The 26,007-nt window shown below is 45.6% G+C and overlaps 1 long non-coding RNA gene across 1 annotated transcript, besides 2 other annotated features; it reads left to right on the top strand.

The window, feature by feature from the left end:
- Positions 1–2,589: 2,589 nt before the first annotated feature.
- LINC01423 (long intergenic non-protein coding RNA 1423) lies at positions 2,590–22,307 on the top strand. The gene is made up of 6 exons (NR_110545.1): positions 2,590–2,771; positions 15,290–15,350; positions 15,634–15,704; positions 16,189–16,240; positions 16,878–16,945; positions 22,121–22,307. It is a non-coding gene; the product is annotated as a long intergenic non-protein coding RNA 1423 (long non-coding RNA).
- Positions 13,491–13,660: an enhancer, noted in NCBI's record as "experimental_62068 CRE fragment used in MPRA reporter constructs". NCBI's record gives its function as "activates a minimal promoter by MPRAs in K562 erythroleukemia cells, with activity observed for both the introgressed and non-introgressed 21:39707013 variant alleles {active_cell/tissue: K562}" and the evidence as "EXISTENCE:reporter gene assay evidence [ECO:0000049][PMID:34662402]".
- Positions 14,763–15,962: an enhancer, noted in NCBI's record as "CDK7 strongly-dependent group 2 enhancer chr21:39704626-39705825 (GRCh37/hg19 assembly coordinates)". NCBI's record gives its function as "activates an origin of replication core promoter dependent on BRD2, BRD4, P300/CBP, MED14 and CDK7 cofactors, with strong dependence on CDK7, by STARR-seq in HCT116 cells {active_cell/tissue: HCT116}" and the evidence as "EXISTENCE:reporter gene assay evidence [ECO:0000049][PMID:35650434]".
- Positions 22,308–26,007: the final 3,700 nt, after the last annotated feature.

Below are 26,007 nucleotides of genomic sequence, written 5' to 3'. Positions count from 1 at the left end.
CTCTTTCCTTCAAACCGTCAGACCTCTCCCACCCTCAAGGTGAGAAGTCTCCAGTGTCCTGGGAAGCAACGAAATGTGTGACTCAGTTGCCTGCCTTGTAACCATCCCGTGAGGGGCCACAACCCATGGGACCTGCACCTTCTGAGGCAGGTTGACTTTCTGGAGGTCTCAGCAGAGAAAACGAAATGGAGGCAAGCCACAACTGCCACCTCTTTTGCCAGAGGAGACTCCAAGAATCACAGTAGGCCAGGTGATAGGCTTTCCCCCTTGGAACAAGCTTTAAGGAAAGATAAGGGCTTATTGCAAAAGGAGTCGCTTCATCCATCATCTGTGTAAAACAGTTACCTTTCACTTTCTGAGACTCTCTTCAAACAAACTTCTTTCCTTATTCTCTAAACTGCTGCTCTCACTAACCAAATGCCATAGACGAGCCTTCCTTTACAAGCAACGGAGCAAATGACAACCATTCTTGTGGCTGAACAGTGGCAAAACATCTTCCAGATCATAAGCCAAGCCATCCTGTCTAGGAAGATGTGTAGAAACTGCCCTCATGGCTCATGACCGCTGTTCTGGCAAGAGAGGCCCCCGGCATCCGAAAAGCAAGAACAGGAGGTAACTGGAAGGGATTCCTCCAGTTCCAGAGACTCGAGCTGTGAAACAAACAACAATCCAAGAGTGTTCATGTGCTGCGATTTCCACTAGGGATAATAACTGCTACCATCGCTTGGCTATTGCCTGCCAGGCTCTGGGCTTTCTCTTAGGTATATCATCTCATTGCAGCCTCTCAAGAACCATATTTTACAGATAGAAAAACTGAGGTTTAGACAGATTAATAAATTGGGCAAAGACATAATCTCACAACTCATAAATCGTAGGGCTTGGAGTCGGGCTCAGAAATCTCTTCTCTTAACCAGCCCTCATGCTCAACTGCCCTCTCCTTGCATAGCAGGGACTGTCCTGCTTCCCGTGATGATTTCGCATGAGGATGTGCTGGGCTGAGGAGGGGTGAGGACACTCTTGCTTCTGGAAGGGGACTTTAAGGGAGACAGTGGCTCCTTTCCTGTGTGCACAGGAGCCAGATTATATTAAACAGGTGACTATTCCAGATGGATCGTAGTCAAACAGAAAGAGCCAGAATATTGTAGGAGGATAAAACCAGGTATCCTTAAAAGAATACAACACTACGAAATATGTCACCGGGACATCTCAAATCTCTGCAAGTCCCAGTGGACTCATGCTGTCCCCGACCTCCTGTCCGTCCTGATACTGCAACCCTGGTTTTCTTCTGGACCCCTATATCTCAGTGTCTCTCACTGCCACCCCATCACTCTCCCAAAAACCATCTCCCCACATCCCTGTGGCCAAAGTGTAACTGAGTTCTGACTTTTCTTTTGATCTCCTACACGCTTGAAAATCCATCCACTTCTTTCCAATTCCACTGCTGTCACTCAAATTTGGATTACTAAAATAGCTGTCCATCTGGTCTACCCACCATGTAGTATTGTGTAGTTACCTGTATGGCTTTGCAGCCAGACAGCTTGGTTGGCATCATGTTTGTTTGTTCTCTGTGTATTTTCATGTCTTCATCTTTAAAATGGGGATCTTAATAGTACCTTTTTTTTTTTGAGACAGACTCCCACTCTGTCACCCAGGCTGGAGTTCAATGGCACTATCTCGACTCACTGCAACCTCTGCCTCCCAGGTTCAAGTGATTCTCCTTCCTACGCCTCCTGAGTAGCTGGGATTACAGGCGCCAGCCACCATGCCTGGCTAATTTTTGTATTTTAGTAGAGACAGGGTTTCACCATATTGGCCAGGCTGGTCTTGAACTCCTGACCTCAGGCAATCCACCCACCTTGGCCTCCCAAAGTGCTGGGATTACAAGCGTGAGCCACTGCACCCGGCCAATAGTACCTATTTTATTGGGTGCCTGTGCTTCATTTAAACACTTAGAACTGTGTCAAGCACGTAGTAAATCAACCAATGCTCATGGTTGTTAATGCTACCCACTCTGACCTCCCTGCCATCCATCCTTCCCTCTGCAGCTGGTATAACCATCTGCCTGCTGCTTAAGGCCCTTCCACAACTCCCCGTTGTATTCAGGATAAAGCTAATAGTCTTTGACCTGCCAGGACTTGCTCAACTTGGCCCTCATCCTCTCCCCAGCCCGTTTTCAGCTCTTGCCTCCCAACTTCTCCCAGCTTCACCCTCGTGTTCCAGGCCTTCTGCTCTCTGCTCCCCTGACCATGAGGACTTCTTGGGACTCATATTCATCTCAGATTGCAATCACCTTCCCTTCCTCCTTTGTCGACATACCTCCTTCTCGTCATTCAGTTCTCATTTCAAGTGTGACTTCCTCAGGGAGGCCTTCTGTAACTCCTGTTACTTGGCTTATTCCCTGTGGGAGGTTTTTATTTGTTTGCAGGTTTAGTTAATTTCCATCTCCCTATGTGTGTGGACTGGCCTGGAGTTTAACACATAGGTAGCAGGTGTTCAATATGATCTATGGGTGAGAGTTTAATGAGATAGTACCCTCCCCTCTCCCATGACTTCTAGCAGCTAACTCCTCCCTGCAAGGACTTCCTCAGCCTGGGGATTGAAGCTCAGGGTGGAAATGGCTGCCTTTCTGGCTGCCATTTTCAAGGTCCTGCTGTCTTTCCAAGCTTTGGCTGGAGAAGGGGGAAATGTCACTAGCAGATGGGGTGTTACCATCTCCCGTGCACACTGGCATCCACGGTCGTAGGAGATCCTCATGATGACTCAAATGTCAGGTAGGATCATTATTGTCCTTGTTTCTTAACTTGCAAAAAGAGGCCCTGAGACATTGACTTATCCATGACCACACAGCTCGTGAGTGACAAAACTAAGGTGAGAAAGAGGTCCCAGGAACCTAACACATGTTTCTTTGTCACTGTGCTCCAGTGCCTTGCTGAAGCAGACACCCAGACAAGGAATGGCAATGACAGCACAAAGAAGATGAGTGTGTCCCCTGCCTTCTTCATTCTCCTCTTAGTCTTTGAGAATTTCCATTGGCTACATTTCCTAGTGGTCACAGTCGTGTTCTCTGGAGGCAGATTCTGAGATGCATTTTAAGGGATAGGATATTTGTTAATGGATTTTAAGGGATAGGATATTTGGTGCCCTTGAGATCGACACCAGTGGAAGTGAGGACAAGAAAAGTTTGAGTGGACAGAGGTGGGAGCTGAGCAGTGATGCAGAGGAGACAGCCTCAGCGGATGCCAGGGAAGCTCAGGAGCTAAAATGGCTTAGCAGCATTGTTCAGCATTGGGTTAAAATGACCCAGTGGTACCTTTATACACCTGCCTGGATCTGTCAGTTGTGGGATGCCCTAGTCAGGCATCTCTCTGCAACTGCAGCCACTTCTGAAGGGTATAATGGCCCTCCTGGCAGCTGCGGCCATCTGTCCATAGAGAGGGGATCTGGGCAGGTGCCATTGTACCTGCCACGCTAATTTTGTCTTCCTGCGTTCGCTTCTCATTTTCTGATTCTGCCCTTTCCCCTATTCCTTCCCTCACTTATTCAATCACCAATTAATCAATCTGGAAAGAGTTTTTCTGAATGAATTTCTAGTATTATGTGGCCTGGTGGTGCAGGGGTGGCGATGTGCCTGGGTATATAGGATTCTTGGCCTGGGATACCTGACACTGAGGGGATTATGTGGCTTAAGTAGTTAACAATAAAGAATGAAGATAAAAGGAATTTAGCCTTTTCCATTGGAGTTTTTATTTTCCAGCCCCTCCAGTTCCAATTCTTGTGAGCAAACTTCCTACCAAACTGAGTGACTATGTAATATTTATCCTTGCAAAATGCCCAGCAGCAATAGGACCCATGTCCTGCAGACCTTGCTTCTGTTCAGCAATTTTTTCTTTGTCAAGGGCTTCAATGCATGCTTGATTTCTCCTATCAAGGGAGGCACAGTGGATAGCACCTCCCTCCTCAAACTGAGAGGATATGGAGAGGTTGGTCCCATGCCTGAGGCCATGGTGCCCACTCATGGTAGAGCAGGAGGAAATGGGGGTCGTTCAACACTCAAGTCTGTTCACTCTCCAGGCTTTTAGGAAGAAGGAGGCCAGGCAGGGGTATAACACCCTTCTGTGTGACGGTTTAATTTTTGTGCAAATATCTGGACTCCTCTTAGTATCCAATTAGATTATTTATGCTGTAAAACTTGAGATAATTGGCTATCCTTTTGGTCTCAGAAGGGTTTCCTTTTAGAGTCAGAAGGTTTGTTGGAACCTCTAGGGAGGCAGAAAGTGCAGGCACCAGCAGAAGAAGTCAGCAAAAAGCTCCAAGGAGGTTTATTTAATGTCTCATCATCATCATCGTCATCACAATTATTATTATTCATTTTTTGCCTCTCTGGAAAGACGGGGCTCCAGTTTCCATTGAGTGAAGCTTTAAGCTGGCTCATAACCCACTTACTCTCTGCTCTTCTGCACTCCAATCTGCTGAGATGTCTGTAAATCTGTGCCACCAACTATGGTGTTCAGACAGTCTGAAGATTATTTCAACCAGACCAGAGATTGATTTTAGTTTCCCACAAGTAGAAACAAGCTCAAGTCAGCTCAGCAACTTACTTGACTTGGAGCCACTCTTTTTTGTTTATTCCTCTTCTTTCCCGTTGCAAACTCCTAATCTCTCTTGGCATCAGGACTTGGTCTTTTGCTGTAGGAGCCACACCAATGGATACCACTCAACCAAAGTGACCCTGGGACAGAGCCAGTATAAACACGGTCCCTCGTGAGTCAAGCGTCTGGGATAAGTGAACAAACACTGGGCTGAAAACCTGGGACTGGCTGGTTGTTTAAGAGCTATCACCTGCTCCTTCGTTCTCATTGTAGCCCAGGGCTGGCTGGGTCAGGGGGTGCATGTCTCATCCAGAACCACACAGAGGCCAACATTTTATCAACGCTCACCAACCAAGTAAACATTTGACCAGCTTACTTTTTCCTTGCTTTGCTCAACTTGATAACAGAGAAAGTGTTCTGGAGAGAGAAGGGATGGCAGTGTTAGCAGAAATAACTGCTCTAATCTCAGCAGTGGGAGGATTCGCTGCTTGGCCTTCCTCACGGGTGGGAAAGAACATTTTTCACCCAAATCAAGAGTGGTCTTTTTCACCCAGTGAAGCTGCTGTGTTTGACTTTGTTGAGGATGTGGAAGGAACTATTTAATTACTATAATGTGGGAAAGACTGAGCAAAAATATTGTTTAACAGCCCAAACGATTGAGGTGGTCCAATTAAAGAGCTGACCCTTCAGTCTTCTCGTGATTCCTGCCATTCCTGGAAGATCTACTTTCCTTGCTTGCAGGACATTTATGAGGCCAGCACCTCCTGAGGAAATGCTGGAGTTTAGCTTATAACTAAACTCCTTAGTTAGAAATAGGATTATAAATATATTGGTAACAAGGGATCCAGAGAGTATTATAGTAGACAGACTGGGTGCTCAATCAAAAACTGTGCTTCTGTTTCATTAGAGTCTTTGGGAAGTGGGAATGTTGAGATGGGAAAGATACAAAAAAATTAGAGAAGATGTTTGTGCAGGAGATTTTCCCTCCCAGCCAGGTCATAAACTCCTGGGTTGAATGTCTCCATAAATTCCTATTTGCTTTAGGAGATCAACTGGGGATGTAACATGTCAGAAGGAATCCAACCCATATTTCACAAGCAGGCGAGAGAGAGTGAAGTGGCTAATGACCAACATCTTTAGAGACAACTTGAGTAATACAGAGCTGATAATTTTTTCCTGGGGTGAAAGACCTGCCAACAGCTGCTCTTGGAGATATTCCAAGGCTGGCCCATCAGAGTGCAAAGAGCAAGTCAAGGAAAGAAACTGAGGGTAATAAATATACCTTGGTCTTTTCAGGATCCTTATAGAAACAGGTTCACCTGCCAAAACATGACACCTTCCAATCTTATTGTACTTGTCTGTGATTAGAAGAAGGTCACCAATTTGATGCATTGGCGAACATGAGAGTATATGATCAAAAGGAGAACAAGTGAGTGGGATGAGGGTAGCCTTCCTGTCTTGCCCAGGTGGCAACGATGACCTGCTAGGAAATATCTACAAGCTCTGAGAAATTAGAGCAGAAGAAATAAAAATCAAGGGCTTATGGTGTTTGGTGGACTAAAAAGTTCAATAAATGCCCTTTCAAGTCAGAATGATCATTCATGCCATCAATATTTATTTAATTCTTCTTAGTATTAAATAAATTATTTAATACTAAGTATTAGCCAGCAGCAACCTAAGCATTAGGGATAAAATAAGAAGAGAGGGTGTCTTTGCAGTCACTGAGCTAAAATGTTGCTCTATGGATAGGGGCTAATTGAAGACATGGCTACCACAATGGTGTGCATTTTTTCAAGAGTTTTACCAGGCTTCAAACCTTTTGGTGGAGAGCGTACAAGGTTTAAGAGGAAGACGTCTAATGCTCAACTACTTGGATAACTTCAAGTGCAAAGGCCCCAACTTCAGAAATGTCCCTTTAAGCCTCCTGACCTCTTCATGGCTAAGGTTCTTAATTTTGCTATATCCAGAGGAATGGGACCACTTGGTCACTCATGGGGCAATGCAGGCTCTCCCAGGTGGGTGCCTGGAGCAGCAGTGACTATCTATGACTTCACATCTCTGCCCTCACTTGGGGCCTGTTGCCTTTGGCCCTTGGTCTAAGCCCTGCCCATATATGTCCTCTGGCTCAAGCTCTGATGATCACATGAGACACTTTTCCTTAGACCCAAAAACAGGATTGTTGGTCAGCTAGCAGAATGGGCTGGTGGCCCCCTGGCAAGGATGCCGGCTGTGACTCAAAGGCACCAGGATTGGGCAAGGGAAAACCCCTTTAGGGAAACCAATGAAGGTCCTTGGGGGAAAAGAACGGAGACTTGTGGTGGGGAATTGGCGACTCTGGACAAAAATAGACCTGGAAGAAAAGCAAAGGCGTCACTACCAGGAACCAGGTCTGCTGGGAAGTGCTGGGGGAAGGCCAACCAGGAGCGCCTGGTCAGGAAGCCAAGGGCACTGCAGCCTCTGTGCTCTGAAGCCATTGTAGGCTGGGTAAGAAGGTGTGTGATTACTGGGACTCTGTGTTCTATACCCTTTCCCCAAAGAGAACAAGGTATCTGACAGTCCTACGTGATCTTCTGAGGATGGCAGATCAGAGTATTGGAATTTGAGGTCTACCCAGATAATCTGGAAGGTGTGGGTATCCTGTTGGAGAGGAGGTGGTGCTTCTCCCCCACCCCATGTGAAGGGATGTCATTATATATTTTTGTTGTCTCTTTGCTTCTTCTTTTCTCTTATTTATTAATTGCTTGAAAACATGGGCAGGCAGGAGGATATTAGTTTCTCCATTGATCTTTGTACTTTATTTTCCACATACACCTTAAGAGAATAAGGAAAAATCTATCTATCACTGTGTATTTTTGTAAGCTACCGTCCAAATGTTTTCATAAGTTTTAGAAAGTTCATTTCTTGGTAAAAAAAAAAATAAATAAGACAAATATGCAATACTCTATATGATGAAATAAAAGAATGATTGGTGACAATTAAATAAATGTTATGTGATTTGATAAAACAAGTTTATTGAATGAAACACACCAACTCTAAAAGGAATCTCTTAAGATTATCTGCACATTTTATGTAACGTGTTTTAAAGAATTTGGTAGTCCCACAAAGCATTTTATTCACATTTATGAGAACAAATGACACTAATCTAAATGGCTTTGGCTGTTCTACATTCAGAATATCACAAAACAGGTCTAAACATTATTTTTAACACCAAGCTTCACCATTAGCAGAAGTATCCCTCAGTTAGGGAAAGGCTGGAGGCCCTATGGCTCAGTGGGCCTTGATTAATTATGAAGATAGTCTTTTGAGACAATACTTCGATTCCTTTTGTAGAATGCCAGGTGTGTATTTCAACTAGGGTAATAAGCCACAGAAATATTTAAAGTAGATGAGGGGCACCAGTGTTCTACAGTGGGGAAAGTATATTCTGAATGCAGGCTCATTCTCAGATCAGTTTTAGAAAGGTTACTGTCTTATCATAGGTCCTTTGAAAGCAGACTCTGAGAGCTGAGTGCTGACGTTTATTGGGGAGTGTTCTTGGGAGATACACATGTAAGGGAGTGAGGATGGCAGAACTGGGCAGAGAGAGAAGCTGACCTGTGATGGTGCTATGACTGAGACCTCAGTTGCTTCCACAGGAGCTCCATAACCGGAATGATCCATCAGAGTTTTCCCAAATTGAAGAAAAGGGGCTGGACCTACATACCCATGCAGAAGCCAGTCATTGGCGACACTCGTCCCCTGGGAGGGGGCACGCACTTGGGCTAGACAGGTCTCTGTGTCATTGTTGGCCTCTGCTGCTGATGGGTTGGACATGCAGCAGCAGCCAAAGCTAGATCAGCCTTGATGAGAGGGAGCCCTTGCTGTTAGGTCCAGGCACAACCTGAATCTCCTTCTCTGTCACCTTAGCTACTCTGTGAGCTCCTTGTGCCAGAATTGAGATGGCTGATCATAGCTGGCTGAGTCATTCTGTCTATCTGTGCCATGGTGCCTCTTACAGACTAAATTTTGTCCCTCCGCTTTCAAATGCATGGGTTGAAGCCTTAACCTCCAATATGACCGTATTTGAAGATAGGGCCTTTAAAGAGGTAATTAAGATTAAATGAGGTTATAAGAGTAGCACACTAATCCAGTATGACTGATGTCCTTATAAGGAGGGGGAGATGCACCAAGGATGTGTGCACACGAAGGAAAGACCAGGTAAGGAAACAGTGAAAAGGTGGCTGTCTGCAAGTCAAGGAAAGAGGCCTCAGGAGAAATCTATATCAGTCCTACATGAAGGGGAACTACTTCTGGTCTTTTTTGCTGATACATAGGGCAAAGTACACATTTCCAGGTCAAGGGCAGCACCCCTGTGCACACCATGTTCTAAAGGCTGTGTTAATCTCTCTTTGCCACGTATGGCACACTTGCTACAATGGATGCTACTACTTGCTTGAGTTTGTGATAGCCCGTTGTCATCTCCATGACCCTCTGATTTCTGTAGTGGCCAGACTGATGGATTTGTTGCTGGAAAATAGGGTCCCAATCCAGATCTCAAAAGAGGATTCTTGTATCTCATGCAGGAAAGAATTCAAGGCAAGTCACAGAGCACAGTGAAAGAAGCAAGTTTATTAGAAACTACTCCATTACATTCCTCAGGAAGCAAGCAGAGGAATGTATCATCTTTATTTTAAGTTTAATTTTTTATATAGGGGTCTTGTCTATGTAGAGACTAAACCAAGTTGTGCCCACATACGGGTGGGCTGACAGCATGACAAAATTATTCTATTGATTTAAATAAAACTATCCTTGACATTTTAGTGTGTAAGTACATCAAAGCGTAACTATAATTATCTTGGAAACATATATGAGTATTGGGACATCTGGACTTTTTGTTGTTGTAGGAGTGTGTCCTTGTAGCATCACTAAGCTGCTTCCTTAGCTGTAAACATCTCAGGACCATGGGTCGTGACTGGCAAGAAATATGCCTTGCCAGTTTTAAGATGGAATTGATTTAAAAATGGTGTCACTTTGGCTCGCCTGGGCTCCTGCTTCCCTAACAGATTAAATTGGGATATGGCAATGATACCACCCTTGCCTTCTTCAAATTTTTGCTGGTACCACTAAGCTCCATTGTTCTCCTGGGGATGCATTTTGTTTTTTTAAAAATTATTTTGACCAAGGACAGGGGTTGGGTTTCTATTTGGCTTTCCCCGGTATTAAAACTCTTATGCTACAGGTCAAGGTTCCAATGTGAGACTTTTGACAACCACCAAGCATTTTCATTCCAACTCTCTATTGAGTGATTAGGAAAACAACCACTCAGTGGTCTATGAGTCAAACAAATCCACTGTAAGCTAGACCTGGGCCAGGACTCCATGTATTACCTGGCTCCCGTATGTCCCCAGCTATCAATGTCAATTCAGACTCTATGACCAACAATCCTACAAGGTCTGGGCATTCTCCTTATTCCAATGCATGCTTACTTGAGCTCATGGCCCTAGGCTTCAGAGTCCCCACTGGGACTGAGCCCCATGCGCCTGCAGCAGTAGCCCACTGACTAGCGTGTCCTCTACTGATCCCCTCCCCTTCCCAGCACTTGTTCCCCTCTCCCTCACTGTGCTTCCTGGATCCCTGCCCAAGAAACTGCTTGCATAGAAAATCTTTGTCCAAAGGTCCACTTTCAGGGGATCCCAAAGTAAGATACGCAGAGTCTTCTGCAAAGTTGGGACAATAGTATCCATTCAATTGCAGCAATGCCAGACTTAGCTCTTACGTCCAAGTTAAAGCATTTGCCACAAAGTCATATTCCTCACTCTCCTTATTCCTTGCCACCACAGGACACTTGTTTCCCTTGATGGGAGGACGTTCCCACCCTTCTTTGGAAAAGGTGACCCATCCATATACACTTCTTAGCAGATCTAGGGAGGGAGAAAGAACCTGGATGAGAGTAAAGAGCGCAGGCATGTGAGTGCACAGGGAGGTCTGGAGCACCAAGCTTGGGAATGCCTTTGGGCTTTCTTTGCTTTGACCGAGCGCCTTGCTGTATATAACAGGTAAGGGCAGGCCACATACTTTAGTTTTCCTCCAGGTGCCTTGCACAACGCTTCGCCTATAGAAGGCACCTACTGACTATTTGTCTTATAACTGAGCAAGAGCTTTGGGATTTGCCCTGTGCCCACTTGGCACAGCAGTGGGCCTCTGTGGGAGGGACTGAAAATCACCTGGAGATTTCCTTTAAAAAATAAAAAACAAAAACACAATCATGCCCCTCCCAGGATCTGTACCTTCCTGCCTGGGGAAAAGGCACCTGTGGGGGCCAGTAGGCATGAATCAGTCCACATCCCGAGGTGTGTACAAAAGAGAAATCTGTGTTTTTTATTTACTTAAATTTTATTTCAAGAGAACCATTTCTTCACCAAGCTGGATCATTTCCTGAAAGTTCCTCTTTGTAAAGGGCTGAATTCGGACTCCTAAAATTCTTCTGTTGAAGTTCTAACTTCCAGTACCTCCGAATGTGATGGTATTTGGAGACAGGACCACTAAAGAGGCAATTAAGTTACTATGAGATCATTAGAGTGGGCCCTAAATCCATATGATCAGTGTTGTAATGAGGATATTAGGACACAGACAGGCACAGAGAGAAGCCCATGTGAAGACACAGGCAGAAGACAGTCATCCACAAGCCAAGGAGAGAGGCCTCAGAAATAGCCAAGTGACACCTTGATCTTGGACTTCTGACCTCTAGAAGTGCTACAAAAAAAAAAGTCTGTTGTTGAAGCCACCCAGTCTGTGGAATTGTTGGGGCAGCCCTAGCAAACCAAGGCACTTTCCTTACTCTGTGACCAGATCATGGTCTCAGGGACATATGTAGGTTGTGGAACTGCTGAGTGGGGTGGGGGCAGGAGTGGATCCTCTGGTCCTCATTGGGCCTCATCATCAGTCTATATACATTACAGTCCATTGACTGGCCCTTGGGGCAATTAGGCCTGAGGTTCAAAGCCCCATTTGGGGTGAAGATACCTTTCTCAAGTACCTAAGAGGACCAGGCAGCTGCCGCCTTCCTGGGACCTTGCTGAGCTATCCCAGTCTCCTCCCCACACCCCAGGAGAATATCTCCCTGACCTGGGGAAAATTGCCTGATCTGGGGAAATGTTCCTTCTGTTTATTGGTCCAGTATTTTTTGTTTCTACTCTGATCTGATTTGGTTCTGTGTCCCCATCCAAATCTCATGTTGAGTTGTAATCTCCAGTGTTGAGAGAGGGACCTGGTGGGAGGTGATTGGCTCATGGGGGGTGGACTTCCCCTTTTGTTGTTCTCGTGATAGTGAGTTCTCATGAGATCTGATCATTTAAAAGTGTGTGGCACTTTCCCCTTGTCTCTCTCTCCCTCCTGCTCCACTATGGTAAAACGTGCTTCCCCTTCACCTTCCGCCATGATTGTAAGTTTCTTGAGGCCTCCCAGTCATGCTTCCTGTTAAGCCTGCAGAACTGAATCAATTAAACCTCTTTTCTTAATCAATTACCCAGTTTCAGGTAGTTCTTTATAGCAATAATGGGCTAATACATACCCCTAAGCCCTTTTATTTTGCCAGCTCAGTAGATTCTCTGAAATCCCCCAGGGGCTTAGACTTCCAGAAGACCAAAGCTGGGCAATTTCTGCCTTTATTTCTACTGCATCCCACCAGGGGACAGTGAACACAGAGCCCACTCACTTTTTAAATAAGGGACAGGAATAGGACGATGAAAACCTCTGGCATCCACACCTAACTGACTTTTCCCAGGTGATTGGAGAATGCCTCTCTGTCTCTCCATCTAGAGCTCTAGGGAGAGGGGTACCCCAGCATGGGAACTTCACACGGGAAATGCTCAGTGAGTGTTGGATGGCTCACCTCATACTGGTTGGCAGAGCATGAGAGTGGAACACACTGGTTTGGATTTGGGGCATGGGCAGGTGGACTCAGATGAGACCAGGGCTCTCATGAGGATGCAGCTGTGCAAATTAAGCACTTCCCCAGGCCTCAGCAGCCTTGGGGTGCAAATAGGTCACAGCATGTTAAAAAAAAATCAGGCTCAGCCCCTACTGACTCTTCCAGGACCTCTTTCATGTGCCTCCATCTCTCCCAGAGACCTCTTGGTGTCCTCCGGTTGGGCTCTCATGCTCATTACCAAGGGCATCCAAGTCAAGTTGCGATGTGGTTCTGTATTCTCCTCCCCACTCAGGTCTGGCTCATGGAGGGCACTTTTTACCATGAACACTGGCAAAGCCACCACCATGACTGATACTTGTTATTAGGGGCTGCTGTTGCCTATGACGTATGCCAGTGGCTAAGAAGCTGGGTAGTGGGTTGAATGGTGACCCCCAAAAGATACGTCCGAGTCCTAATCCCGAGTACCTGTGAATGTGACTTCATCTGGAAAAAAAACATCTTTTCAGATATAATTAAGGGAAGGATCTGCAGATGAGATCATCCTGGATTGATTAGGTGGGCCCCAAATCCAATGACAGGAGTCTTCAGAAGAGACAAAAGAGAAAACACAGACAGAAAGAAGAGATTGGAGTGACACAGCCGCAAGCCAGTGGATGCCTGGAGAGACCAGAAGCTGGAGGCGGCAAATGGCAGATTCTCCTCTTGAGTCTCCAGAGGGTGCCATGGCCCTGTGGACCCTTTGACTTCAGATTGCTGGCCTCTAGAACTGTGAGACAATACATTTCTGTTGTTTTAAGTCACCCTATTTGTGTTAATTTGTTGCTGCAGCCACCACCGTCCCAAGGGAAGGTGCCGATGTTGTCTGGGAAGCTGTTTCTGCCCCAAGGCTGCGGCAGACTCTGACTCTCCACTCACCCTCATGGCTCCATTCCAAGTGGAGTGGGGAGAATATTCCCCATATGGGGAATTGAACTCCTCCACTGCAACCAATGCTCCTAGTACTGGATGTATCTGTAGATTCTTCCGCTTCTTTGACCCAGCTTTTCTCCAGCCACAGCCCTGCAGCAGGTCTGGGTGGAAGGTCAGCTGGGGCACGTGATGACTAGCATGGACTCCAGATGGCTCTTGGCCACTGTCAGGGCCTGATGTCCCCGACGATGACCTAATGGCATGACAAGTCACCAGTTCAGCGGCCACAGGGGCCGGCGGGTTCTGTGAAGGAGGAATGGGGGTGGTGTGGCAGAGGGGACAGGGAATCCCAGCTGCAGGGGCAGCGGCAGCTCCTCCCCTCCATGGAGCCATGAGATCATGTAGGTCCAAAGCTGTCAAGTCTCCAGGATCCAGACAACAGTGTGAACTTTCTCAATGTTTAGACGTTGGCTCAAAACATTTAAAGAAAACATATGCCCTCTACAAGGGACCTTTGCACAAAGGATCTCAGTGGGAATCTTTATATTCTTAGGGACCCACAGATGGTCTCAGGTCGCTAGAAATCTCTAAAGGACACACAGACCTAAGAAATGTTTTGTGGTTTTTTTTTTTTTTTTCTGAGGAGGATCTCTGTAGACTACATCAGTGTTCAGAGAATCCAAAATATTAGGTGTCCCTGACTTATGATGAGATATTTTGTTTGTTCATTTTCTAAAAGGCTTCTTGAGCCTATGCACAAATCTCTCCTGGAAATTCTTCCCTTTGTTGGGTCTGAACTTGTGTGCATGTTGCTTAGGTTCAAGCCCCTGGCTGCCTGTGGTTTTTCTAAGTGTGGGCCAGAGAAGGTTCTAGAATAATCAGTGAGATTAATGCCATACATCGGTGCTTTTGAACTGGGGCCTATGTTCCCCCAGGGCAGCTACAGGAGAACTGTGGGTACAGCTTTCTGGGGCACCATTTTTTTCAGGTTTCGGGCAATTATTAATGCTACATTTAATATAAAATAGACATGGGTATAGCATGGAAAGAAATGTAAAATTCTCATGAATTATTAAGATAAATACAAGACTTCAAAAACATTCCATGCAAGTTATGGGGCTGCTTCGGGTTATCCCTCCAGACCCCCGGTGCTCATTTGCCCTACTCCACAGCTAGAGGGACCCAGTAGAACATTCTGAGAAGCTCTTCCCTACATAGCACCAAGGACTTGGCAAAACTTTGTCTACTCTTAATGGTCCATGGTTTACCCATGTTCCTTTACAAAAGGAGCTGAGGAGGCGACAGGCATTTGGGGCTTTGTAGAAATTTAAAGTATGGTGCAAAGATTCACAGCCTCAAGGACTCCTGGAGTCACCTGGAGATCTCTTGGCAGGACCTTCGTCTCTAGGATCATTTATGTTATGTGGGAGATCAGATCAAGTACACCCTGGCATGGACTTCCCCTGACGCTGTGCTGGAGCCTGGCCTCTGTGTCTGTCCTGGCATCTGCCCAGCGGCCTTCAACACAGTAAGGGCCTAAATTGGACCTTCACACTTGACACTGGCCAATGTGCCTGCCTTGTTGTTATCCTAACTGAGTCCTGAGATGAAGCATGTTCTATGCTAAGCACATCATCTAAGATACATTCTCTGTTTCAGACAGAAAATGCAGCCCCAGAAGAATATACTGCATTAAGATCTGCATTCACAGATACCTCTAAGTATTGGAAACTGTATAACTTGGTGTTGCTTGCCAAGTGTATTTAAGCTCCCAGGACTGTAGAAGATTGGCATTGACTCAGGGATCTTACCATAACAACTCATAGTTTGGTGGGAGGAAATAAAACTCAGTGATTTAACTAAACTACTCTCTTTTAAACAGGACCCTCCACTTTTCCACCAGTTTGTCCACCGGTGAAAAGGAGAAGCCAGCCAAGAACCAGGTTTGTGCTGATATTTCCTTGAGCCATTTTGCTAGAAGTTAACAGAGGCTGGGCTCCTGGCTCCACTGCTTCTCTTCCTGGCTGTGGAACCTCAGGCAATATTCCTATTACCTGCCCTCAGCTTCCATTTCCGCATCTGTAAAGTGGAGATGATAGAAATCCAATAGCGATAATAGTTGCAAGAATTAATTAAACTGGCATACATAAATTTCTTATCAGGGTGCCCAGCACATTAGAAGTGATTAATAATTCTGAGATTTTATTTTTTCACTTGATCATACAGCAGCTTCTGGCTACCTTGATCAGAAGGTTGATGAAGGCAATGAAACAAAGATGGAAAAACACATCACACAGGTAATTGCCTGTGCTCTTCCGCCTCCAGAGTGACACAGGTGCCTGGAAGGCATGTTAGGTTGGGGTGGAGCCAGGGGAGGGGTCCAGCCAGAAAGAGGATCTGGGATGAAAGGCTGTTGCTGCCTTCAGAAAGCTCAGTGACTGGGGAGACAAACATGTTTCAAACAAGGGGCCATAGTGGCATTTGGCATATTGTAAACTAGAGGCTTATAGAAGATGCTAAGAGAGGTTTGGAGAGTGCTGTGGTTTGAATGTCCCCTCCAAAATTCATGTTAAAATTTAATTGCCAGTGTGACAGTATTTAGAGGTGATGAGGCCACGAGGGCTCCACCCTCAAGAATTGAATAATGTTGTTACTGCCGGAGTGGGTTAGTTTTATGAGAGTAGGCTGCTTGTACTAGTGAATTTGACCCCCTCTTGCTCTCTTGCTCTCTCATGCTGTCTTGCCTTCCACCTTCTGCCATGGGGGTGACACACCACAAAGGCCCTTACCAGATGCCAGCATCTTGATATTGGACTTCCCAGCCTTCAGAACTGTGAGCATATATTTCTTTTCTTTATAAATTACCCAACCTGTGTTTATAGAAACACAAAATGGTTAGAAAGTTGGTACTGAGAATTGAGGCTGTTACTATAACAAATACCTGAAAATGTGAAAGTAGCTTTGGAACTGGGCAATCGATAGAGGTTGAAAAAATTTGGAAGAGTAGGCTAGAAAAAGCCTACATTTCCATAAACAGAGTAGTAAGGACAATTTTGGAGAGGGCTCAGAAGAAGAGGAGAGCTGTAGGGAGAGTATGAAACTTCTTACAGATTACTTGAGTGGCCATGATCAGAATGTTGTTAGAAATGCTGAGTGTAAAGGCCATTCTGATGAGGTCTCAGGTGGAAAAAGAGGGTATCTTTTTGGACACTGGAGTAAAGAGCATCCTTGTTATGAAATGGCAAAGAGCGTGGTCAAATTGTGTCCATGCTCAAGGGATTTACAGAAGGTGGAATTTAAGAGTGCCCGACTAGAATATCCAGTAGAAGAAACTTCTAAGCAAAATATTGGAGGAGTTGTGCAGCTACTTTTAACTGCATATAGTAAGATCCAAGAGGGGAAAAATGACTTAAAGATGGAATTTATAATTTAAAACAAAAGCAGAACAGAAAAATTTTTTAAATTTTCAGCCTGACCATTTACAGAATGAAAATGTGTTCACATGAGGAAACCAAGGGTGTGGCCAACAAACCGTTGGGTAAGGAGACTCGTACAGATGGAAGGGCTCATCAAGACAGTGGAAGAATGACCCCAAAGGCATTTCAGAGATCTTCAAAGCTGCCCTCAATGACAGGTCCAGAGCTCTCAGAGGACAGAATGGTTTTTGGGGATGGGCCTGGATGCCCTCTACAGGCTCACTGTCCAGGGCCACATTGGGTCTCTGTTTTTACATCCTGGTGCAGTGATTCTCCACTGCTCCAGCTGTGGTTCAAGTGGCCCCAGTTGTGGCTCAATCTACTGCTCCAAAAGGTGTAAGCTGTAGACATTGGCAGCATCTACATGGTGCTAATTCTGCAGGCATGTAGAATGCAAGAGCTGTGGGGCACAGTGACCTCCACCTAGATTTTAAAGGCTGTCACAGTCTACCTGGGGGCCCAGGCAAAGACTTGTCATGGAGGCAGAGCCATCACAGGGAGCTCTATTCGGGCAATGCTGAGTCTAAATGTGGAGTTGGAGCTGCTGCAGGGGCTGTGCTGTGCCTAGCGGAGCCAGGGTCATTTCTGAGACCCCAGAACTGTAGAGCTACCAGCTTGAAATATTAACCTGGGAGAGCTGCTGGTGCCACACTCCAACCCGTGAGACCTGCTAGGTAGACTGAACTCAGCAAAGCCATAGGAGCAAGGATGCCTGAGTTCCTGGGAACCCAACTCCTGCCCCAGAGTGCCCAGGACATGGAGTCAAAGCAGATTATCTCTTTCTTCTTGCTTATTCTTCCCTTTTGGAATGGGAATGTCTATCTTATGTCTGTCCCACCATTGTATTTTGGAAGCATGTAGCTTGTTAATTTCACAGTTTATAGCTGGAGAGGAATTTGCCTCAGCATGAATCATGCCTTGAGTCTCCCCGATTTCTAATTCAGATGGGACTCTGGGCTTTGGACTTTTGAGTTGATGCTGAAATGAGTTAAGACTTCTGGGGCATCAAGATAGAATGAATGCATTTTGTATGTCAGAAAAACATTAGTTTTGGGGGGGCCGTGGTTGGAATGCTGTGGTTTGAATGTCCCCCTCCTGCCTTACTCTGTTTTCTGTTGCTAAAATTGAATAACTGAGACTGGATAATTTATAAAGAAAATAAATTCATTTCTTACAGTTCTGAGGAAATCCAAGGTTGAGTGGCCACATCTGGCGAAGGCCTTCTTGCTGGTGGGGACTCTCTGGAGAATCCCAGTATGGCTCAAGACATCACATGGCAAGGGTGTGAAAATGAGAGCCACGCTGGCTTTTAAACAGACTCATTCCTGTGATAGCCCATTAATCCATTAATTCATGTATGGATTAATCTCATGAAGGCAGAACCCGCATGACTCACTGACCTCTTAAAGGCCCCACCTATTAATACTGCTACATTGAGACTTTTCAACATACTTTTTGAAGGGGACAAATAATCAAAACACTGCACTTCCAAAACTTGTGTTGAAATGTAATGGCCATTGTGATGGTATTAAGAGGTGGGACCATTAAGAGGTGATTAAGCCATGAAGGCTTCACCATCATGAATAGAATAATGTCATTATTGCAGGAGTAGGTTAGTTATCATGAGAGTGGGTTTGTTATAAAAGCAAGTTTGGCCATCTCCTTCTCTTTTGCTCTCTTGTCCTCTGCCTGGGGATGACACAGCATGAAGGCACTCACCAGATGCCAGCACCTTGACATTGGACTTCCTAGACTTCAGAGCTGTGAGAATAAATTTTATAAATATCTTTTCTTTATGAATTACCTACTGTATGGTAGTCACGCAACACAAAATCGATTGAGAGGAATTGAGGGTACAATCTGGAAGGAAAGAACGTGAACTTCAGCAACATGGAGAGCAAAGCACAGGACTGGGGGGCAAGAGTGTGGGGAGACCCAGTGGAGAGAGTACAGGGAGAAGAAGGGGAAGAGGTATGTGAAGGCAAGACTGGCCTTGGAAGGAAGTAGAGCTCATCGCAGGTTTTGAGCTTCTTCACAAGTGGAAGGAGGGGAATAAAACATCTGGCACAGGCAGCTGACAGAAGTACAGGCAGGCAGATGAGATGAACTGGGTCAGGACAAACTTTAAGCCTGTCCCAGGGCTGGAGCACAGTGCTGGATCAAGGGAATTAATGGATTCTAGTCCTGGGGGTTATCATAACATACATCATCCTGAGACCAAGGCCCCCAAGTGGCTCCAGTCCTGAAGTATATGAACCTTTGCATCCTGCTTTGAATGAAATCCTCAAAAAGCCCCAGATTTCTTCCATATACCTGTCTTTCTGTACATCCAGTTCCCTCTGACTAGGCTAGACCGTGGGCCTTTGAGGGTGACATTGTGATTGACAGTGACATCCATTAGACCTGGAGAAGGAGGGTCTGAGTCACTGGCTAAGCCCAGGAATTAGAATTTCATGAATATGCTGCTGGATGTAAGGACAGTCTGACTGTAGGAAAGAGCTTCCATGAGTATAACGAGAAGGTTGGGGCATACTATTAGTGCAAATCCACCAGCTAGAAGGCTGAACTAGCAGGAAACAGACCCAGAGGGTCCCACAGTCTTGCTTCTCAAAGTGTGATCTGAGCACCAGCAGCACAGACATACCCTAAAAGATTTCATAAATGCAGTCTTAGGCCCACGGCAGACTTTTTGAATCAGAAATTGAATTTAAACACAATTGCCAGGTAATTCATCTGTATTGTCAAAAGTTTTGAGGAGCTCTGTGTTGGAGAGCCTCTGTGAAAGTAGGCTGAGAGAATAATGAAATAATAATAGCTAACAGTCAATTGTGAGCTAGAAAATATTATACAATCTTTATAAATATTTAAGCTTTACAGCAGGGGTCCCCAACCACTCCCCCCTGCCGGGCCACAGATGGGTACCAGTCCTGGACTCTTAGTAACCGGGCCACACAGGAGGAGGTGAATGATGGGTGAGCGAGGGAAGCTTTATCTCTATTTACAGTCGTCCCCCACCCCCTTGCTCACATTACTGCCTGAGCTCCACCTGCTGTCAAATCAGTGGCGGCATTAGATTCTCATAGCAAACTCTATTTAGAACTGCACATGGAAGGGGTCTAGGTTGCATGCTGCTTATGAGAATCTTATGCCTTAGGATCTGTCACTGTCTCCCATCACCCCCAGGTGTGACTGACTAGTTGTAGGAAAACAAGCTCAGGGCTCCCACTGATTCTACATTTTGGTGAGTTGTATAATTATTTCATTATATATTACAATGTAATAATAGGAATAAAGTGAACAATAAAAGTAATGCACTTGAGTCATCCTGAAACCTTCCCCCACCCCCACACCCCTGGTCCATGGGAAAATTGTCTTCCACGAAACCAGTCCCTGGTTCCAAAAAGGTTGGGGAGCACTACTTTACAGCACCTCTGTAAAAATATATGCCCATTTTCCAAAAAAGGAAACTGAGACAGAGAAAAGTTTCTTGCCCTGGGTCTGGTTGCTAGTGAGTGACATTTCTGGGTATTCACCCACTGCCTAACTCTAGTGACTGCTGCTCAGAGGAGGGTGTTTGGCTGCAAAGAGAAAACATGACTAACAGTGGTTTAAACTTGGATTAATTGTTACTGAAATGAGGAGTCAGGAAGGGCAGTTTGGGGGTTGATTTAGCAGCCACATGAGGCTGAGTTGCTGTGTCCGCATCTCTGAACTTTCCCTCATGGCTAAAAGACACCTCTGGTTTCAAGCCTCAGGTCCTTCACTGGCTCTTATAGGAGGTAGAGGTTGGAGAGGATGGTGAGAGAGCTCTTTCGCCATGCTTTCTTTCTTTCTTTCTTTCTTTTTTTTAAATTTTATTTATTTATTTATTTATTTTATTTTTATCTTATTTTATTTTTTTTTTGAGACGGAGTCTCGCTCTCTCGCCCAGGCTGGAGTGTAGTGGCGTGATCTCTGCTCACTGCAAGCTCTGCCTCCTGGGTTCACACCATTCTCCTGCCTCAGCCTCCCGAGTAGCTGGGACAACAGGTGCCTGCCACCACACCCAGCGAATTTTTTTATATTTTTAGTAGAGATGGGGTTTCACCATGTTAGCCAGGATGGTCTCAATCTTCTGACCTGGTGATCCGCCCGCCTTGGCCTCCCAAAGTGCTGGGATTACAGGCGTGAGCCACCGCGCCCGGCCATTCTTTCTTTCTATCAGGGAGGAAACACTGCTCCCAGACTCCTCCTGGCAGATTCCCTCTTGGCACAAAGCCTGGAACGGGTCACATGGTCAGCCTAACTGCAAAGGGTGCTGAGGAAGAGAGTTTCTCCTTTCTTCCACTTGAGAGTGGGAGGTGTGCATGGGAGGAGGAAGTTGGGAAAGGGTTTAGGGAAGGGATCCAAGCAGGTTCTGCCCTAACCAACTTTGTGACCTTGGGGAGGCCACTTTACTTTCTTTAACCATAAAATGAAGGTTTTGGACTGAAAGAGATCTAAAGCCTCTTTTCTGTGTAAAGGAATTTATTCCAGAACATCAAGTCCCTTTGACATACCCAACATCCACATGCAAAAGGATGACTGACTGGTGCCGTCTCTGACCTTGGGAATTTGAAGCACCTGGGAAATGGTTGATCTGCTTGGATGGTTTCTCTTCCTCCAGGCTGTAGAATCAAAAGTGTGTCCCGAGCAGCTGGGCTTGTAAGCACTTCAGGGACCACTGATTAAAGTGTGAGGCAGAGCTGCTGCTGTTAATGGTCACTGAGGTGGCTTTATTAACCCAGCTGCCTTGCGGAAGGTAGCGGTGGGACTCAGGAGGTCACATGGTGGACAGAACAAAAGACTGTGTGTGTTTAAGTTGAGCTCTCTGGTTATTTGGGGTAGGGTGTTCCCCCCTTGTCCTTCTTTTTTCTTGATTCATGTCTAAGATGGGTTGTTACATCTACCTGTCCACAGTTGCTTATGAGGTCAGACTCTGAGAGTAACAAACCTGGCTTTGAATACCAGCTCAGCCACTTGCCAGCTAGCAAACACTGGGCAATTTGCTTGGCCTCATTTAAGCCTCAATTTCATGATCTGTAAAAAGGCTTAATGATATTTCATAGGAGTGTTGCGATGATGAAATAATACGATGTGTGTGTCATGTAAAGGCTGAAATTGAGGCGTGGTATAGTGTGCTGCCTTCAAATCTGGTCAAATCAGCAGTACCTCTACTGACCTACCCACAAGAGCCTCTCTCCATTCTACTCTTGCAGATAAGGCTCCAGTCAAGCAACCCACCTTATCAAGTGGACCAGGCACAGCTCCTACTTATCCCTGAGTAGTGGGTATCAGTTTCCTGCTAACCTCGGAATTGTTCAAAGCCCATCACATTCTCCTGCAGGAACCAGGGAGCACCTCACCCTCTTGTTGCTACAAAGCTTGCCACCCACAGCCCCTGCCTGTTCACCCTGCTCCTGAGGGCAACCCCTGTATGGCCAGCATCCCATGCTGTGTTCACCTCTCCCAAGCTGCGAGTGTATGTGAATAATAACTGCCGTCAATCGCATCTGTTAAGCATCGAGTGTAATGTGTTTGGTCATCCTCATAATTCTAGTGTGGAATGTCTCCCTCACCAATGGGGTGAACAGGAGGGAATGAAAACAATGTGTAAAATATTTAGACACCGCAAGATACATATTTAGAGCCTGGCAAATGTTAGTTAAGGCCATTATTGCTATTATTTTGCAAAAGGATAATAATTTGGTTTTCTTTTAACAAAATTTGTTTGGGCAGAATGCTTAGCTCATAGTGTTATTCTTAGGTTCCTCCAAACAGCTTTTCTGGAATTTTGTTTCCCTCATTAGCAATTACAAAGATATGCTAATGCTCTGCACCAAGTGGCAGCTACATGCTTGAGACCAACACTGAAAATCAGTCATGGAATCACTGCATATCTGAACAAGGGCCACGAGAGGAGGCACAGATGGGTCAACTGACTTGAGCAGAGCCACCCAGCAAATTCAGCGTCGGAGTATGGTAACTAGATCTCCTGATCCAACCATCCTTCCCTGCACCCTCCCATCTAGGCTAATGAGGAGAAATGTAATCACGGTGGTAATTGCAGGCAAAGATGAGCATCACTTGGTAAAGCAATATGTGTACTTGAGTTGGCCATATGGAAAATCCAGTGCAGGATATGGGGGTGAATGGTCAGTTGCTGTGTGTCATTGGTGGGATGGAATCTATGGCCTTCTTGGCTATTCTTTACATGAAACATTTCCTGGGGGTGATGGTCCAGTTAAAAGTCCTCTTAAAGATAAAATAAAACTAACTCAAACCAGTATGTCATGCTTCACCAGCTGGTGTTTCAACCAGGGAAGCCCATGCCAAGATGAGAAAGAAGTCTACCCTTCCCATTGCTGAGCTGTGGCTCCTCCTTATCAGTTCCTAGTAGGAGAAGCTATGTTCCCCCTAGGCTAGAGGACTTCACATTCTGGACACTGGCGGCTCAGGGGAGCTCTGTTGTACCACCACTGTGGCCCCAGAACCTGCTGTTGCTGTCCAAATCCGGGGAGTCTAAGGAAATGTCCCATTCTCACTGCTGCTAATAGTGATTAGCAAGCTAATGCAATATGTCCAGCTTTACCACACTCTCCCACTGTCCCCAGTGGCTGCTTTTTATGGCTATGCAAGTAAACACCATCAGCCTGAGAAGGAGTGGCATAAACTGAGCCTTTATCTCTGGTCCTTTCCCTGCCCCATGGTGCAGATCCCACTTTGGGCTCAGCCAAGAGTGGGTCATATCATAATTGGATTAGATCCCAATGTTATTGTTTCATAGGAACTCACACAACCATTTCCTCAGGGTGCAAGGCTGCCATCAGTATGGCTGGGCTGGTGAATTTTCTGGCATCAGGAACCTATGAGACCTAGAACTCCTGTCACCCTCTTATGCCACCACACCTTCTTCCATGGTAAATGCTAGCTCATTCAATTAATTAAAAAATACCAGCAAGGTGCTTTTTATTTAGTGCACACTTATATAGGCACTATGAATATAGGAGGAAAGATGAAAAATTCCAGCCTTCACAAAGCCAATATTTCCAGTGTTACTGCCATTCCCTGCCATGGGCTAAGATCAAGATCAGCTTCATTTGCACAGGTTTTATGCAAAGGGAAGAATTTCTCTTTCTGTAGGATCTATCTTATCCTCCTCTGCAAACTCCCAGGGTTTCTATCAGCAATTAGCACACTATGTAGCGCCAGGCAAGCTGGGAGGTTGGGAGGAGGGGGCTATGTCAGAGGACAATGCCGGAACTCACCTCCCTATACAGCCAGGGCAAGCCTGGTTACGGCACAATGTCCTGTTTCATGAGAGTTCATTTCCTCTGCATCATGTCTATGCACAGAGGTAAGCAACCAGGAATTTCTCTGTGCTCCCTGTAGAAAATCCCCATCTCAAATTACCTTGGCATCTCCATATGCAGATGCTTGTCAGGGGCCCAGTCCAGGCTGCTTGAATAGAATTGGCTGGGTTCCCTTCATCCGCTGTTGCGATTAAGGAATAATGTAAGATAGGAGCAGTCACACCATTACACTCTATTAGCCTGATTTATGTTGGGTCACTGAACCCCCCACCTTAGGTGCCACCCACCATTCTACCCCCTTAGCTACCTACAAACCCACTCTGGGGTAATGGGGTGTACCCACTCTGGGGTAGTTTAAAATCTGTTCACAAATTCTTTGAAACCCTCTTGAAAAGCTGTAACCTATTCTCCTCTTCTTGAGTGTGGCTAGACTGAGTGACTTACTGTTAATGAATAGGTGGGGGAGGAAGCAACATGAGATACTAGGCAATAAAAGATTCTGTGGTTTCCTGTTTGCTTTCTCTCTTGGATTACTCTGTCTGAATGATGCTAGCTTCCCTTGCCTGAGAATCGTTACAAAGAGGAGCATCTGATGAGGAAATGAGAACTCCAGCCAGAAACCAGCAATAAATTGAGGGCTCCTATATGAGCAATGCATTCTCCAGCCCCAATCAAGCCTTTGGATAACTGCAGCTCCTGCCAGCATTTTGACTGCACTTCATGAAACACTTTGAGTCAGAGCCACCTACCTAAGCCACTCCAAAATTCCTGACCGTCAAAAACTTTGAGATAATAAATGCTTGTTGTTTTAAACTACTACCTCTTAAGGTAGTTTTTAATATAGCAGTAGATTACTAATATAAGGCACTACTATATTCTCAAAAACTTCTGAGAATCTTACCCCAAACCACCAGCTTTATTACTATCAGGGTATCATAATGACAGGTTGTAAGTTTACAACCTGTATTAGTCTAGTTAACGCTTGTGTTAATCAGGCTAGTTAACACTAGCCACTGTAACAAACAAGACCCCCCACCCTCGCCCCCGCCAAATCACAGTGGTTTTACAGAGTAAAAGCTCAGTTCTCCTTTGTGAGAAGTCCAGTTTAGCTAAAACATCTGGGCAAATTGTAGACCAAGATCTCTGAGGAGGGGAGGGAGGAATGGAAGAATTGACTATCTTGGTCAGAAAATGCCACACATCATTCATGCCCACACCCTGTTGGCCCAGATCAATCACTGCCACCAACCTAACTACCTGGAAGGCTGCTGGGAAATGTGGGGGAGTCCCAGGAATATTTGACAACTCCTATTGTCACTGCCACACAACCCTACTTGGGTTTTCTAATTTAAAAGCCAGAAAATACATGGCTTTAAAGAGATATGTAATCCATGTTTGTGCTTCCTGCACCAGCCTGGGGATTTAAATGAGAAGCATATTCATCGTAATAAACATTATTCTTCAGATTGTATCAATAATTATTATTGCTCCCTGTCAAATCCCCATCTTAAATTGCTTTTCTGGGAATCCCCAGGGAATGTCTCCTGGGCATTTGAGACAAACGTAATCAGATACCACAAGGAGTTGCCTTTTCCTTCTTCTCTCCTTTTGGGCAGTGTCCATTGCTGCACTCTCTGCCAATGACACTATGAGCAGAAGTCTGCCTGTCGGTGATGAGCAAGCACTGTGCTTCCAGCACAATACAAACAGACTGAGCTCCCTGAGAGATGGGATGACTGCGTCTCTCCCGCTTGTGTCTTACTTGGTCCTCTGGAACCGAAAGCTAAGCTTTA

The sequence above is a fragment of the Homo sapiens genome, chromosome 21 (assembly GCF_000001405.40).
Source record: "Homo sapiens chromosome 21, GRCh38.p14 Primary Assembly".
NCBI classification, from domain to species: Eukaryota; Metazoa; Chordata; class Mammalia; order Primates; family Hominidae; genus Homo; species Homo sapiens.
The sequence above is the reverse complement of the archived record's forward strand: the minus strand, read 5'-3'. Positions and strand labels throughout refer to the sequence as shown.